This window comes from Homo sapiens, chromosome 15 (genome assembly GCF_000001405.40).
Source record: "Homo sapiens chromosome 15, GRCh38.p14 Primary Assembly".
NCBI lineage: Eukaryota > Metazoa > Chordata > Mammalia > Primates > Hominidae > Homo > Homo sapiens.
Genome location: NC_000015.10, coordinates 59,044,215 through 59,062,873, shown reverse-complemented (window position 1 = coordinate 59,062,873; position 18,659 = coordinate 59,044,215). Strand labels below are relative to the sequence as shown.

General features: G+C 37.5%; 1 protein-coding gene and 1 pseudogene across 30 annotated transcripts in view; one reads left to right on the top strand and one right to left on the bottom strand.

Annotated features, from left to right (window-relative positions):
- The window catches only part of RNF111 (ring finger protein 111), a 109,757-nt gene that overhangs the window by 34,546 nt on the left and 56,552 nt on the right, over positions 1–18,659 (bottom strand). For all 30 annotated transcript variants that reach the window (XM_047432702.1, XM_047432708.1, XM_047432713.1 and 27 more), the window contains 3 exons: positions 10,443–10,569; positions 7,029–7,192; positions 4,324–4,518 (listed from right to left, as the gene is read on the bottom strand). In XM_047432702.1, coding sequence (XP_047288658.1) covers positions 4,324–4,518; positions 7,029–7,192; positions 10,443–10,569 — 486 coding nt within the window. The remainder of the gene's footprint in view (positions 1–4,323; positions 4,519–7,028; positions 7,193–10,442; positions 10,570–18,659) is intronic.
- On the top strand, positions 13,141–13,475 carry RPL21P113 (ribosomal protein L21 pseudogene 113; annotated as a pseudogene).

The window sequence follows — 18,659 nt, the reverse complement described above, 5'->3', positions numbered from 1 at the left end:
CACCTCCCACTGTAAGAACTATCTGGCCCAAAGTCAATAGTAGTGCCAAGGTTGAGAAATCTTGGCATAAAGGGGAAAAGTAGAGGTACCACGCCAGACTGCCTAGGTTTGAATTCTTGCTCCACTATCATATAACCTTGGATATGTTACTTCACCTGTAGAATGAGAAGAGTAATAAAATCTGCCTTACTGGTTACTGTAAAAATCAGAGTTATTATAGGCAAATCCACCGGCCAACACTATAGGCTCAATAAATGTTAGCTATTGCTATCCACTAGAGGGTAAGCTCTGTTAGAACAAAAATTTATCTGTTTTGTTCCCACTGCCTAGAACAGTGCCTGACATATAGTGTGCCATCAATAAATATGTGTTAAACAAATGAATATATAAGATATCATGTAGGCATAACACAAGGACCACATGGAGAGGTCAGACAGATAATGAGCTGTTTGTGGCACATTGAGTTTGAACTGACTGCAGAACGGTCCAGGAGAGATGTCCAAGAAGCAATTGGATATGAAAGTCTAAAATGGCCGGGCATGGTGGCTCACACTTGTAATCCCAACACTTTGGAAAGCTGAGGCAAGTGAATTGCCTGAGTCCAGGAGTTCGAGACCAGCCTGGGCAACATGGCAAAACCCTATCTCTACAAAAAATACATAAATTGGCCAGGTGTGGTAGAGTGTGCCTGTAGTCCCAGCTACTTGTGGGGCTGATGCAGGAGGATCACTTAAGCCTGGAAGTGGAGGCTGCAGTGAGCCTGCACTCTAGCCTACGTGACAAAGCAAGACCCTGTCTCGGGGAAAAAAAAAAAAAAAAAAAGAAGTTTAAAACAAATATAGTGGTCAAAAAACACAGAAGAGAGAGTCATCAGCATACTAGTGATAGGTGACAACACTTACAGTTATGAAATGGGCTAGTGAAAGGGGGGATGAGAACACAGTCCTGGGAAGAAAATGAATTATGAAAAGGAGACAATTGTCAGATTTTAAAAGATCATGTTTATTCATTATGAAAGGAGTCAGAAGCCCATTAGAGGAAAGAGTTTAGTGTGACAAAAATACACTTAAATGTACACAGACAAAAACAAGTGTACATGTGCATGTACTAAGGAAATGAAACCAGAGAAGATGCCGAAGACACAAGGAAGATAACAGTTAAAGCAAGGTTAAGGACAAAGGAAAGGATAAGAGGTAGAGCACAGATAAAGGAACTGGAAGGGAAAGGAAGGAGTTAGGAGACTAGGAATTAGTAGAGGAGGACAGGTAGAGAGCCACAAAAGTTTATATGGAGGCATTGGAAGTTGCAGGAGTTCATGCTTAAGAACTTTCATTTATTCATTTTTTTAAAATTTCCCCTGGGGAATGAAAACCTTGAGGAAAAGGAGAGTGTTTTGAAATAGGCACTTAGAGGAACGAAAGGGAACTGATCAAGACAATGGTGATTTCCTACAGAAAGCCCAGGATTCGAAACCATAAATTTACGGAGGAACTTGGATAAGTGTGAAGCTAGATGGCTTGAATGTGAGGGTTGGAAATATTCAAAAAGGTACAAGATAAGGACGGGTTGTGGAGAACATAGTTGAACTAATGTTCCATAGGGTCCTGGAAGGAAATTGACCTTAAGAGAGGCCCATTTAGGACTGTAGCCAAGATGCTCAGAAATTAAATCTGATTTGTGAATGAACAAAGATTTATATATAAAAGTTTTTGGAATATTCTGAAATAAAGTTGGGACTGTATCACATAAAATGTACGTAAGAATAATGCTACACATAGGCCGAGGGTGGTAGTTCACACCTGTAATCCCAGCACTTCTGGAGGCTGAGGCAGGTGGATCGCTCGAGCCCAGGAGACTGAGGCCAGTGTGGGCAACACGGCAACATGGCAAAACCCCATCTCTACTAAAATACAAAAATTAGCCGGACGTGGTGGTCATGCCTGTGGTCCCCCATCTACTCGGGAGGATCACTTGAGCCTGGGAGGTGGAGATTGCAGTGAGACAAGATTGTGCCACTGCACACAGGCCTGGGCAACAGAGTCAGACCTGTCTCACAAAAAAAAAAATAATAATAATAATAATAATAATGCTACATAAAGCTACAACAGGAGACAGGAGTCAATGAGAAGTCAAATCCCTGCCTCAAAAATTATTACAGTTTTGTCAAGGTACTTAACTTCTCAGGTTTCTTCATTTCTGAAATGGTAAGAGAAATGCCAACATCAATAATTTATTTTTTAAAACAGGGTCTTACTCTGTCATCTGGGCTGGAGTGTAGTGGTGCCCTCGAGGATCACTGTAGCCTCAACTTGTCAGGATCACATGATTCTCCTGACTCAGTCTCTGAGTAGCTGGCACTAAAGGTGTGTGTCACCAAGCCTCACTAATTTCTGCAAGTTTCTGTTTTTTTGTTTTGTTTTGTTTTTTTCTTCAAAAGAGACAAGGTTTCACCACGTTGCCTAGGCTGGTCTTGAACTCCTGGCCTCGAGTGATCTGCGTCCCTGGCCTCCCAAAGAGCTGGGATTACAGGTGTGAGTCTCACCATGTCAAGGATTTTTTTTTTTTTAAGAATTAAAATATATACAATAACATATAAGATACCCAAGTAACAAGCTAAGAAAAGAGTATGTACTCAACAAATGAAATAAAAGCCCATTTCATTTCTGCCTACATTTTTTCAGAGAATGTTTTTAAAAGACACCCCTGGGTACAGTGGTTCACACCTGTAGTCCTAGCTACTTGAGAGACTGAGGTAGGAGGATCACCTGAGCCTGGAACTTCAAGACTGGCCTGGGCCAAAAAAACAAAAAAGATACTCCTGGGAAATCTCCTTGAGAATGTTTCTCAATTCTGCCCTCAGTTTTCCAGGGGAGAGAATACTTCCTGATCCAGCCACATGTAGTTTTCTAATCTGCTAGATGTAAATTACATGAATATTAAAAGAATTAAATGAGATATTATTAAAAGCAAAAAGGGATAGAAAATATAAGATGGTTTCATTATTAATGGTGATTTAGTCAATCCACAAGCTACAGGGTCTACAGTGTCCCTATTGGTAAGCAGTTAGCAAGTTCCTATCTCTGTACCATTATCCAAAAATGAAAGAAAGTTAGTTTAAGGCTCAGTTAAACAAAGGATATAAGAGAGAGCCAGAGATATCACTGCTAATTGAAACGTAAGAACTAGCTTGAGATAAGAGCTAAAACTAAAGAAAGCTCCAGAATAAATTTTTGTGACCCTGGATTAGGCAACGGTTTCTTAGATATGACACCAACAGACCAAACCATAACCAAAAAACCCCAGAAAATGGATATCACCAAAATTTTAAAAACTCCCATCCCCATTCTCAATTATTTTGGGAAGATAACTAAGGAGTAGACTTAGTGCATCCAATGGTAACTCTATTTTAACTTTCTGAGGAACCATCAAAGTGTTTTTCTCAGCAGTTGCACCATTTTGCATTCCTACCAGCAATTCGCAAGGGTTCCAATTTCTCTACATCCTTGCCAACGCTGGTGATTTTCTATTTTTGTTTGTGTTATAGACACCCTAGTTGGTGCAAAGTGGTATCTCATTGTGGTTTTCATTTGCATTTCCCTAATGATTAGTGATGTTGAGCATCTTGTGCTTCTTGGTCATTTGCATAACTTCTTCAGAAATATCTATTCAAATCTTTTCTCATTTTAAAATTGGGTTGTCTTTCTGTTGGGTTGGGGCTTTTTGTTTGTTTCTTTTTACTTTTTTATTTTTTAAATATAAATAGAGATAGGGTTTCACCATGTTGCCCAGGCTGGTCTTGAACTCCTGGTCTCAAGTGATCCTCCACCCTCAACCCCTCAAAGTACTGGAATTACAAGCATGAGCCATCACACCCGGCCTGTTGGGCAGTTTTAAGAGTGCTTTGTAGATTCTGGATTCTAAAGTGCTTATCAGATAAAGGATTTGCAATATTTTTCTTCCCCCCATTCTGTAGGCTGTCTTTCACTGTCTTGATAATATCCTTTAATGCACGAAAGTTCTAAATTTTGATGAAGTCCAACTTATCTACTTTTGCTTTTGTTGCTCATGCTTTTGGTGTCAGCCATTTGCTTCTCCCCAAGCTCTCTTATTTGAGCTATAATACTCTGGTTACATATAGCACACAAACTCAAATATGAAATCAGCCTAATTATAATAAAGACTACCTTGATAACATATGAAGTTTATTATAATGTAAGAATACCCGCTTATTAACATAGCTAAAATCTTAGACTTAAAAACAATAATACTTTTCCTAACGAAAGTAATGACAAAAAGTCTCCCCTCCCCCACTTTTTTACATACCTCCTATAGAAGTGCCAGTGGTACTATTGCTTGTAAGAGTAGCTGAAGTCTCTGACACTGTGGAAGGTTGGCTACTGGTGACAGCTGAAGCAGTATCAGAGGCCTGCTCAGAGGTAGATGGATTTGAATTGTTAATGGAAGCGCTAGTAGCTTGTGATTCCATTCTTGCAGAAGTGGTTGGTACTACAGTAGGTTCTACAAAATACAAAATGTCAACTTAGCATTTCAAAACAAATTAGATAAAGGGTTATATTTTAATGTAAGCTAATGTGTTTATAATTAATAAATAAAAAAACTTTAAAAATACAAGCTCTCTAATAACATTTGGTAAAGAAAGCGTTCACAAAGCTAAACTGCAATATCGAACAGACGTGTTACCAAAATATTACTGCATTTTAAAAAAATCCAACACCGATATGCTTATTCCAATAATTTAGGTGATTTAACAGTTTTTCAGGTAGCTTCTAAATAAGTTGTCTGATCTATCACAAAGAAGAAAACAGTAAAAGGAAATAAAAGTTCCTTACTATGCACGTACACATGGTCACGAGCTGCCAGAACAGTGTTACAAACCACACTGTCTGACACAATATGGATTCTAGGGTAAGACTGCCTGGATAGCAATACTGATTTCACCACTGACAGTATGAATATAAATAAGTTATTTAACCATTCTCCATTTCCTCATCTGTAGAACTGGGAAAGCATCAGAATTTTCTTCATAGAACTGTCATTAGGATGAACTGAGATCACATACTTCGTATGATGCCTTACAGAGAGTAATCACTTAGCATTAGCTATGATTTCCAATAACTGTTTTAATCTCCTTTCCATGCCTTTTTATATGTTTTCCAAAGAAAATTTTGTAAATATTAATACTCATCAGTGCTTTCTAATAAAAATTAACATTTTTCTATCAGAAAGTAAAAGAAATTTCAGGTAGACTTCAACTTATGAGTGAGTTAAGTTTCAAAGAACTAATTTTAAAATGGTTGCTTAAAATTGAGAACGGTAGGAATAAATCCATCCAAAGCATAGTCACGACAATTAAATCTGAAAAGAAGGGGGGTCTCTTAATGTGCTATGGAATGAGAGGGTTGACTTTCTATACAATGCAGTAAGGTAAGCTAATTCCTTAGGCACAAATAGTACCTGTGAATCTATATGGGACACTTTGAATGCTAGTATGTCCAAATGCTTGTATATGCAAATTGCTTGTACATAAAAAAGGGGGAAAAGAACTTCTGTTTATTTGTAAATAGTTTAACCAGGGTTTCTCAACCTTGGCAATACTAACATTTTGGGCTAGACAATTTTTTGTTCGCTGGGGAGGAGATGTGCACTGTGAACAGCATGATGTTTAGCAACAACCATGGTCTCTATCCATTAGATGTCAGTAGCATCCTCCCCTAACTGTGAAAACCAAAAATGTCTGCAGACATTGCCAAATATCACTTGGGGGAGAAAACTGCCCCTAGTTGAGAACCACTGGTCTGATGTACTTAGTTTTAGATTCATTTTTAATAAGAGAGAAGCTTTCCAATGAGAAAAACTAGTGGGGGGAAAGGGAGCATCTACTAATCACTGGAATACTTTTAACCCAGTAAAGTGTAAATTCTGGTTGAACTTACTGTAATGTGGAAAAGGCTACTCTATCACCTTCTCCTACTTACTGGCTAGCAGGTGTCACATCGGAACACAAAAAGTTTCCAAAATAGTCACCCTATATTTAATTAACTGAGTAATCATTAATTAATCCCTATTACATTAACGACTGTCTTACAGATCATTTACAGTGCTTCAAAACAAAAACCAAGAGATTGTTGAATGAAATGCAAACAGTTGTTATCTCTTCATAAACAACTGGGTACTGATACTCTGAAAGTTATGACCACCCAAACTGCAAATAGCCCATAGAAGAGCTGATTGTATATGGCCTCTAACTCTTTCCACCTATCAACTCTTTCCATCTACCTGATATATTCTTTGCCCAATTTATAGCTAACTCCCAAACCTAACAAACTCATATATGGCTTACCATTTTCCTTTTGGGAAATTATGAGTGACCATTTCCTAAGATATAACTAATAATACCTCAAGATGATTCCCAATATGTGGGCAAATTCACATATGTATTCATTCATATATTCCTAAATTCTACCACTTTTCCTAACCTCTGTATTCCAACTCTGGTTTTGTTTCCTCAGTTACTTGGGTACAGCTGTAAGCCAAAATAAAATACAAAAAATGAGCAGCACAAAAAGGTACCGATAATATTGAAGGATAACATAATTTTTAAAAGTAAAGTTAGACATTTCAAACAGCCAGTATTAGTCATTCAAAATTCAGTTATACTGCTTTTGTGTTTATATTTAAAAAGTACTGCTTCTACTTTTTCATGGCAAGTTAAAGACAATCATTATTACAAATCAAACTAAACTAGTTTGAGCTAACCTCAAACTACCACTTACAAAAATATTTTTTCCTGAGAAAATAGCTATCAAGTATTGAAACAATAACCACAAAGAATTTTATGTAAATTTACAAGCCTAGGATATCAATTAAAAACGAGATTAAAAAATCTGACAATTTCCCTGTAGTTTAATAATATATTACCAGTAAGCAGGAGGAGTTTCTAGCATATTAAGAGATTTCCTTTTATCAAACTCCTTTCATAATTTTCTACTGTTACTACTTCAATTTACCATCTTCATCAACGGTAAGGTCCACAACTTCTGCTGCATTCTGCCTCAAGGGCTGTATAACAGTAGAAATCCTACTGCGGTTCCGTGGCTCCTGTGGCCGACTTGCATGAGAACTGGAACCCTGGCTCCAATGAGATCTGGAGTGTCCAAGGGTTGAACGAGACCTTAAATGACATCAATATTAAGTTAGTAAATATAAATAAAGAATTTTTAGTCACCACAAAAACCCATAAGCCTTTCTTACTAAATGTTAAGTTTTTCATACAAGATTTCTCCAAAGAAATAATCGTAATTAAAAATCATGACTGGCACTCGGTAAACTAATTGACCTAAGAATATAAGAAATACTATGTTGTACCAATCATTAGTGTAAAATACAGGATTCTGTTTCAAGAATGCTACTCTCTCTTCCATGGTTACTTTTGAGAATTTACCCAGGTTATAATAAACTATTTACATTTTCTGTTAATAGCTAAAATTACTCACCATAGGTAAAGGAATAAAAATAACACCCTACACATTTAATAATATCCACAAGGTCTTGTATGTTTAGCTCAGGATAGATTTGCAAAACATTCCTTTGGGAGTCCTAAACCAAGCTAAGCTTCTAGTATTGCCATAAAAGAAAACAAAACAAAAAAAATAAACAGGCACCAGGGAGATTTCCTGATGTGTAGAGGTAAGGACATTGTGGCTAGTTTACTAGTTTGGTAGCCCTAAGAAATATTACTTGCGTGAGCTAGTTTATGCTTCTAAAACACGTGACTGTGAACCCTAAACATCTAACTTCATTTAAGTATGTGTGTGGCATTACACTGTTCTAAATTTACTTACAGGTGTATATACTTTGAAGGACTCACTATAATGATTTGGACTAAGGACATACAGGGATAATATGTAGAATATGCAGTCCTAAGGCTCCAGGATAAAAAAATAAATCTTTTAGAAAGGTGAGGCCAATAAAACACAAGGGCTTTCTCCTGTTCAAACTAAATATAAAACTGCTTATAACCTTATTGTCAGCATTTACAGAAAATATCTGTAATATAAAAGGTCATTGGGGGTGGGTGCTTAACCACTAAGAAGAGAACTCCAAAGGTCAAAGTGGGCTGAAAATGGCCTCAACATTTTCAGCCCAACTTGAACTTCAACGATTATAGAACCCAGAGTTTAAAAAGTTCAAATTCTAAAATAAAATTCTTAAGAAGGAGTATAAAGTTAATTACCGAGCCACTGTCAACATAGGATAGTACATATCAGAAACAGTTGTGGTATAGCTTGAGCCAAGATAGCCATGTCTTGGGATAAAATGGTTTTGTATGAGGAAAGATACCACCATTTAAAATTCTTGAAAAATCAAGAGTCTATGATGAGACTGAGTAGTCTATTATCTCTGGGAAGCTGTTAATAGCTGAAGGAAGTTATAGGTCCACTTTGCAGTACTTTTGTGAAAGCATCATATTGTACTAGATGGAGCAACTGCAAAAAAACATGAATGTATGAGGAAGTCTCAAGGAGGTATTAGTGGCCACTATGATTAGTAGCAACTGTCAAATCCTGACACAAAAGACTCTAAAACAAAGAAATACTCTCTTAAATGAAAGGGCCAGGCCAGGCGTGGTGGCTCACGCCTGTAATCCTAGCACTTTGGGAGGCCGAGGCGGGTGGATCACAAGGTCAGGAGTTCGAGACCAGCCTGGCTAATATGCTGAAACCCCGTCTCTACTAAAAATACAAAAAAAATTAGCCAGGTGTGGTGGCTCATGCCTGTAATCCCAGCTACTCACAAGGCTGAGGGAGGAGGATTGCTTGAACCCAGGAGATGGAGGCTGCGGTGAGCCAAGATGGCGCCACTGCCCTCCAGCCTGGGTGACAGAGGGAGACTCTGTCTCAAAAAATAAATAATTAAGTAAAATAAACTAAAGGGCAAAAAGCCAGCTAAACAGTAACAAAATTAATATCTCTTAATAACAATAAGAGATATAACAATGGGTCATGTACACTGTGGGTCTTTTTCAAGATCACTGCCTATTAACTCAGGTAAATGCATCTGCTTGACATCAACCATGTCCAAAACAAGATCTCTAGTCCTACAAGGAAAAATAGGTCTGTAATTTCAGTAGTCCTTACAGCTCATAAAAATTGAGTCAATGTTGTACCAAGCACTATGCACGGTCAGAGGATAGGTGTGGTACATAACACTGGTTTTCAGTTTTACTCAGAGTTGGGGAAAATAATATAAAATTAAAACAAACAAGTATATGTTATAGAATGCTCACTTCCATGCCTTTAGAAGTAGCACTTCGATGCTAAAATGGCAAGTGGAAAAGCATGTTCTAAGTGTTTGTAACAGATGTCAGAAATATGAATATATACTTTTAAAATCAGTAACATATTAACATGCAATAAGCAAATGCACTTCTAAATTCGTTCCAACACAAAAATTAAGATTCATCCGTTAGATTATTAGTTGGGTGTATCAAATGTAACAAAGCAACTCTTTATTGCTATTATTACCAATACTTATAATCATCTAAAGTATAAGATGAATGCAATGTTAGGAGTTGATATTTTGGAGGGAGAGTCAAAGTGATTCCGCAATAGGGCAATGTCTTTTCCAGTTATTTATAAAAACAGATAAGGATGTTTCATTAATGTGTTAGTTCAGAGCACCGATAAAATTACTGAGTGAAGGAAAAAGAATCAAAACATATGTTTTGAATTAGGGTGCCCTAACACAGTAACAGCACAAGTTTCACTGGTATCAATGAGTAACATATTGAAACAAGTAGATTCTAACAGAAAGGGCTATTTCAACATCAATACCCCTTAATATTTTTTCATTTTTAATTTGGTACCATCCCCAATATTTATGTATTATTCACATCTAAATTTCAAAGCAGATCAATTCTCCATATCATTAAAAAACACAATTTTATAAAACACTAAGTAAAATTATTGTTTATTCAGAGCATTAACTCTTAACTCTCATTGTATACTTGGGGTGCTTTTAAAAAGACTAACCTCTAAAATTCTAGTTCAAGTATGGGAAAGAGTCTGGGCAACAATATAGCTTTATTTTATTATCTCTCCAGGTGAGTTTAATGCAGCCTGCTTTGAAAAGGACAAATCTAGACAGGCTTAGTGACATGTGCCTACAGTCCTAGCTACTATGGAGAATGAGACAGGAGAATCACTTGAGCCAAGGGGTAGAAGTCCAGCCTGGGTAACATAGCAATATTCTATCTCTTACCAAAAAAAAAAAAAAAAAAAAAATCCACTAATCTGATATATGCATACTCAAACTGGGTCTCAAAAATAAATAAATAAAAAGAATGCAAATATCTGCAGCACAAATATGTTTAATATTTATATTTAATATTTCAAACATTTAACTAAGAATTAAAATCTCACCGATAGCTTTCTCCAACTGTTACAATCTCCACTTCACTGTCAGTTGAGGTAACATTAATTTCTTCATTGGCAGTAACCTGGGGAGTGGAGGAAGCTTCTATCACCACAACATCTTCATCAATACTTCCTGGAAACAAAAAGAAAAAACATTTAAAGGCATCTTCCTGTCAGCTAATCGTTAGGCAGAAATTTTTATTTTGACTTTGAAGACCATGAAATTCATTGCAAAAATAAAAATCTTATCTGTCAAAAAGGTTTTTTAAAAAAATACACAAGGAACAAAAAACACACACAGTAAAAATGGTAATCACTGTTTTAATCTACACTTCTTTGCATGTTTACTTCCTCTTCTATGGATTTGTTGTATTCATTACAGATGTTCAGTGGTTTCTACATGATTTGTAAGATCTTATATAGATATTTATCCTGTAATATCTGTAGTATATTATAGATCTTGTATAAGATATTCTACTATATAAGATATTAACCCTTTAATAGCTCAAAGTAATTACAATAGCTTTATGTTTTTTCCAAGGTTGTTTTCATTTAGGTGATATATTCTTTTAAAAAAACACTGTAGCTTTTTAGTTTTATGTTATGAAATTTGTCATTTGTTTATTTATTCATTTATTTATTTATTTATTTATTTATTTATTTATTGAGACAGTTTCTCACTCTGTTGCCCAGGCTGGAGTGCAGTGGGATGATCTCGGCTTACTGCAACCTCCTCTGCCTCCTGGGTTCAAGTGATTCTCATGCCTCAGCCTCTCAAGTAGCTGGGACTACAGGCATGCACCACCACACCAGGCTAATTTTTTAGTAGAGATGGGGTTTCACCATGTTGCCCAGGCTTGTCTTGAAATTCTAACCTTAAGTGATCTGGCTCCCTCAGCCTCCCAAAGTGCTGGGATTATAGGCGTGAGCCACTGCACCCAGCCAAAATTTGTCTTTTTTTTTTTTTCCTTTTTTTTTTTGAGACAGAGTCTCGCTCAATCGCCCAGTCTGGAGTGCAGTGGCGCCATCTCTGCTCACTGCAAGCTCCGCCTCCTGGGTTCACACTGTTCTCCTGCCTCAGCCTCCCGAGTAGCTAGAACTACAGGCACCTGCCACCAGGCCCAGCTAATTTTTTTTTGTTTATTTTTAGTAGAGACGGGGTTTCACTGTGTTAGCCAGGATGGTCGCGATCTCCTGACCTCATGATCCACCCTCCTCAGCCTCCCAAAGTGCTGGGATTACAGGCGTGAGCCACCGCACCAGGCGCAAAATTTGTCATTTTTAAATGCCCGTTCTTTTCTAAATCATTCTAAACTTGGAAAGTGCATCCTTATTTAGAAGATGGATAAGTATTAAATTAGAGTTGGTCCAAGTCTTTAATATTCTTTATATTACTGTATCTAGAACTGATTTTTGTTATGACATTAGATAAGATTATATAAATAGAATCCTGCTCTGTCTCTCCACAGCTAACTAGCTATCACCAAAACATTTATTGAAAAATCTTTTTTACCCCATTAATTTTTGATACCTCCTCTAATTTTCAGTTATGCAAAAGAAATACATACTGGAAATTTACTGCACAACATAGGGTCTATGATTAGCAATAACGTATTGTATGTTTAAAACTTTGCTAAAAGGGTATAACACATTAAGTGCTCTAACCAAAAAAGGAAACAAAAGTAAGGAGACAGGAAGAAATTTTTGGAGGTGATGGATTTAAGTCCATGGCACTGATTGTAATGATGGTTTTACAGGTGTTATAGCTCTTTCCAAACACATCAAGTTATATACACTACCTTCCTTCAGCTTTTAGTATACTAATCATACCTCAATAATGCAGTTAAAATATTTTTTGATACTTCTCTTAAATATTACACGTATTTTACGGTCCATTTTGAAACTATTCAACCCCTTTGATATAGAGTCTAGTGTCAGGGTAAGTCTACTTTTTAAAATAGTTTTTTTGAGGTATAATTTACATACTTTAAAATTCAACCATTTAATCTGGCCTTTCGCCAGAAACCACCATCTTCCAATAATTCACCAAGATGACAAACACAAAGGAAAAAAGAAGAGGCACCTCCAATTTGTTCTCTAGGGCTTTTGGAAAACATGGAGTTGTTCCTTTGGCCACAGACACAGGAATCTACAAGAAAAAGCGATGTTGTAGACATCAAGAAAATGGCTACTGCTCATACAATAATTAGTCGAGCATGGTGGTGCTAGCCTGTAATCCCAGCTACTCAGGAGGCTGAGGCAGGAAAATCGCTGGAACTCAGGAGGCGGAGATTGCAGTGAGCCGAGATCACGCCAATGCACTCCAGCCTGGGCAACAGAATGAGACTTCATCTCAAAACAAAAAAAAAAAGAAAAAGAAAAGAAAATGGCTACTGTGGGCCGGGCGTGGTGGCTCACGCCTGTAATCCCAGCACTTTGGGAGTCTGAGGCAGGAGGATCATGAGGTCAGGAGTTTGGGACCAGCCTGACCAACATGGTAAAACTCCATCTCTACTAAAAACACAAAAATTAGCCGGGTGTGGTGGCACGCACCTGTAATCCCAGCTACTCAGGAGGCAGGAGAATCACTTGAACCTGGGAGGCAAAGGTTGCAGTGAGCCGAGATCGCGCCATTGCACTCCAGCCTGGGTGACGGAGCGAGACCCCATCTCAAAAAAAAAAAAAAAAAAAAGAAAGAAAGAAAAAGAAAATGGCTACTGTTCAAAAAGGAATGCCCACAAATATTACCATGGCAAAACTGGAAGTTACAATGTTATCCAGCATGCTGTTGGCAATGCTGTAACAAACGAAATTCTTGCCAAAAGAATTAATGTATATAATGAGCATATAAAGCACTACAGCTGAGATGGCTTCCCAAAACACATGAAGGAAAAAGATCAGAAAAAGAAGGAAGCCAAAGAGAAAGGTACCTAGGTACAACTGAAGCACCAGCATTCTCCACCCAGAAAAGCACACTTTGTGAGAACCAATGGACAGGAGCCTGAACTGCTGGAACCTATAACCTGTGAATTCATGGCATACTAGGTGGCCAAAAAAAAAAAAAAAAAAAAAAAATCAAAGACACCTGGACTATAAATAAAACAAAATAAAACTTGAGGGCATTACGCTAAGTGAAATAAGCCAGTCATAAAAAGACAAAAACTGTGATTCCAGTTATGTGAAGTATCTAAAGTAGTCAAATTTGTAGAAACAGAAAGAAGAGTGGTGGTAACCAGGGTCAGAGCGAGGAGAAAGAGGAGTTGTATAATGGCTATAGAGTTCCAGTTTTGGAAGATGGAAAAGTTCTGGAGATCTGTTTCACAACAAATGTAAATATACTTTTTTGTGTGTGTGTGAGACAGGGTCAGGCTAGAGTGTAGGGGCACAATCACGCTCATGCCGTCAATCTCCTGGGCTCCAGTGATCCTCCTAACTCAGCCTCCTGAGTAGCTGGGACTACAGGTGCACACCACCACACCCAGCTAATTTTTGTTTGTTTGTTTGTTTTTTAAAGAGACAGGATCTTAGTACACTGCCCAGGCTGGTCTCGAACTCCTAGGCTCAAGTAATACTCCTCCCACCTCAGTCCCCCAAAGTGCTGGGGTTACAAGTATGAGCCACTGCACCTGGTCCCAATGTGAATATACCTAACACTACTGAACAATAAGCTTAAAAATAGTTAAAATGGTTTTTAAAAAAGTAACCCTCCATTTCTTTTCTTGCTGTATTTTTTACAAACCTGTTGTTGAATGGCTTCTTCATTACTATCACCTGTCAATACAAATGTCACCCAACAGTTTACAAATAATGTCTGTAATTAAGAATTTTCACATAATGAGTGTAAAAAAATTCACCGATTTTAAGTGTACATTTTGCTAATTTTAGTAAATTTATGGAGTGTAATCATCACCACAATCCAGTTTAAGAACATTTCCAATAACCCCAAAAGAGCTCGCAAGTCCTATTTCAGTCAGTCATCATCCCCTATACCAACTCCAATACCCCTGCAACAACTGATCTGCTCTCTGTCATTATGAATTGGTTTGGATTTTGTAAAGTTTTATGTTAAGTGGAGTCACACATTGCATACACTTTTGGCTCCTTTCACTCAGCGTATTTATGTTGAAATATATTCATTTGTTGTATCAATATTCATACTTTTTTTATTGCTGAGTAGTATCCAATCATATGGATATAACATACTTTATCCATTCATCCACTGATGGACATTTGGGTTTTGCTCAGTTTTTGCATATTACAAATAAAGTAGCTATGAACATTCATGTATAAGTCTTCCTACAAACATGTGCTTTCATTTCTCTTAGGTAAATACTTAGGAATGTAATTTCTAGGTTCTATGGTAAATTTGTTTAACTTTTTAAGGAACTGCCAAATTGTTTCCCTAAGTGGCTCTACAATTTTACATTCCCAATAGGGAAATGAAGGTTTCAGGTTCTCCACATCCTCACCAGTACCTATTATTGTTTCTTTTTCATTAAACTTGTTCCAGTGGCTATACGTGGTATCTCATTGTGGTTTTAATAACCATTTCTAAAATAAGTAGGCTGGATACAGTGGCTCACGCCTATAATCCCAGCACTTTGGGAGACCGAGGCAGGCAGATTGCTCGAGCTAAGGAGTTCAATCCAGCCTGGGCAACATGGCGAAAAACTGTCTCTACAAAAAACACAAAAATTACCTGGGCATGGTAGCACATGCCTGTAGTCCCAGATACTTGGGAGGCTGAGGTAGGAAGACAGCTTGAGCCTGGGAGACGCACGTTGCAGTGAGCCAAGATGGCACCACTGCACTCCAGCCTGGGCAACAGAGCCAGACCTTGTCTCAAAACATAATAATAATTAAAAAAAACACAAAATAACTAATGGTGCTGAGCATTTTTTCATGTGATTATTAGTTACTCTGGTTTTTGTCTGTTTGTGTTTGAGAAAGTGTCTTGATCCAATGCCCAGGCTGGAGTACAATGGCACGATAATAGCTCACTGCAGCCTTGACCTCCCGGGCTCAAGCAATCCTGCCACCTTAGCCACCCCAGTAGCTGCGACTACAGGTACCTGCCACCATGCCCAGCTAATTTTTAAATTTTTCATACAAATGAGATCTCATATGTTGCTCAGGCTGGTCTCGAATTCCTGAGCTCAAGTGATCTTCCTACCTTGGACTCCCAAAGTGCTAGGATTATAGATGTGAGCCACCGTGCCAAGCCTAATTTTATTAGCCACTTTGGTGAAATGTCTATTCTTCTGTCCATGTTTAATCTGAGCTTTTGGTCTCATTGTTGAATTATAAGAATTCCTGGCCAGGCATGATGGCTCATGCCTGTAATCCCAGCATTTTGGGAGGCTGAGGTAAGTGGATTGCTTGAGCCTAGGAGTTCAAGACCAGCCTGGGCAACATGGCAAAACCTCGTCTCAACAAAAGCTACTCCGGAGGCTGAGGTGGTAGGATCACTTGAAACCAGGGGGCCGAGTCTGCAGTGAGCCGAGACTGTGCCATTGTACTCCAGCCTGGACAACAGAGTGAGACCCTGTGTCTCAAAATAATAATAATAAAAAATAAAGAGTTCCTTATATATCCTGAATACAAGTCTTTTCTCAGATATACTATTTGCAAATATTTTCTCCCAGTCTGTGACATGCCTTTTCATTTTCTTAATAGTGTCTTTTGAAGCACGAAAGTCTCTAATTTTAATGTTCAAATTGGCAACTTCTTTTATGGATTGTGATTTTGGTGACATATTTAAGAAACCTTTGTCTAACCCAAGGTCACTGAGATTTTCTCCTATGCCTTATTCTAGAACTTGTATCATTTAGTTCTTACATTTAGGTCTATGATCTACTTTGTTAATTTCTGTGTCAGACAACAGGTAAAAGGTCTAAATTTATCTTTTCTGCATATGAATATACAATACTCCAAAGAACAGAACAGGCCAGGTACAGAGGCTGACGCCTGTAATCACAGCAATCTGGTAGGCTGAGGTGGGCAGATCACTTGAGCCCAGGAGTGCGAGACCAGCCTGGGTAACATGGTGAAACCTCATTTCCACAAAAAATAAAAAATTAGCCAGGTGTGGTGGCATGTGCCTGCAGTACCAGCTACCCAGGAGGCTGACGTGGGAGGATCACCTTAGCCCTGGAGGCTGAGGCTGCAGGGACCCCTGATGGCGCCACTGCAGTCCAGCCTGGGCAACAGAATGAAATCCTGTCTCAAAAAATTAAAGGGAAAAAAAAAAAAAAGCAGCAAATAGGAGCAGACACTGGTAAATAACGGAGATAATGAAAGATTATCTGATTTACAGAAACGTTTTAAAAATTACTTAATAATATTGTATTTATATTCTGGAATATTTGCGAAATGTTATTATCAATTAGAAAACATAACATTTATTAGGAGTTATGAGATGTGAAAATATTTGAAGTGGTTTTTAAGTCCTAAAGATTACACACACAGACTGAGGTAAAATGCATTTTTAACAGTGCAAATATATCTTACAGGCAGAAAAACAACAAAACAGTAGCACCCAAGTGGCTATTTAAAATAATATTGTAGATTGAATTTCCAAATTATTTTCCAACTCTTGCTTCATAATCATAAACACAATGCAGCTTAAGGTAGAAGTACAAAAGGAACCTTGAGATATTAATCCAGCTAACCATTGACTTTGCAGACATGTTACTTGTTAATTAACTCAAATTATTAAATATGGAATTAAGTATGGTGGTAAAAGTACATTTAAAACTAAAAGCATTATGTATCAACGACAAGTCATATTTTTTAAAAAACTTTCCTTATTTCAACCCATAAACTGGGCATTACCAATTCGACATGGAGAAAAGTTATATCTATATGTCAACTTCATTTATGATTTTTCTCCATTTATCTGTATACAAAATTTCTTTTAAAACCTGTTTTTAAAAAGAGGAAAAACTAAGGCCGGGCGCAGTGTCTCACGCCTGTAATCCCAGCACTTTGGGAGGCTAAGACGGGCAGATCACAAGGTCAGGAGATCGAGACCAGCCTGGCCAACATGGTAAAACCCCGTCTCTACTAAAAATGCAAAAAGTAGCCAGGTGTGGTGGCAGGTGCCTGTAGTCCCAGCTACTCGGGAGGCTGAGGCAGGAGAATCACTTGAACCTGGGAGGCAGAGGTTGCAGTGAGCCAAGATCGTGCCACTGCACTCCAGGCCTGGGTGACAAGAACAAAAACTCTGTCTCAAAAAAAAAAAAAAGAGGAAACACTTAAAAAAAAAAACTGTAAAAAATAAGCTAACATTATCGAACACCTTTTACATGGCTTATGTAACATTTTGAAACCTCAATGATAAATGATACAAAGCTAGCTTTGCTAATGCATGAAAATTCAATTTATATAACTTTTTATGAATACAGAGATTATGTAACTAAAAGTATAAAAATAGCTTGCTTAGGCACTCTTATTCTATTGCTTAAACATCATTATTTTTCTAAAAAGGACTTTATGCATAACTTGAACATAATACATAAAAATTATATAACTAAAGCATATTCACAACAGGCAACATTTTGGCATCTACAATCCAGTGTTTTCTAAGATAAGTTATTTAAACCAAAATTTTAAAAGGGAAACATTTCAAAAATTATAAAGTTAATCTTATTAAATAGCACGACTTAAAAGAAAATCAAGAGAATAGGTCACTTCTTACTGGGTCAACTTTATTTTCATTTTATCTTTTACATTTAGAAATACTAAAGGATAAAAAACGAGTATGGCTAAGACAGTGGTAGGACTGTGGGTGATTTTCTTCGAATTGTTTTTTTTTTAAGGTTAGTTAGGTTGTTTATAGCTTTTAAAACATCATGAGAAAAATAACATATTTCTCTGGCTACCAGGCCAGAAAGAATATGAGTAGTACAACAATGATAACAAAAACAATGGTTTCTCTGCGAGAGTTCTTTATAAACTCTTCAAAGCCCATTTCTATTTCCTGGTAAGAGATCACAGATTCTCTTGGCATCAGCAATAAGCAACGTTAGCCACTATACTCACTGATCACCTTAGTCTCTCTGTGCCTTAAGACTGGAATGATGCTAACAATAAGAAGAGTTTCCATGGCCAGGCGTGGTGGCTCATGCCTGTAAACCCAGCACTTTGGGAGGCCAAGGCAGATGGATCACCTGAGGTCAGGAGTTTGAGACCAATCTGGCCAACATGGCAAAACCCCGTCTC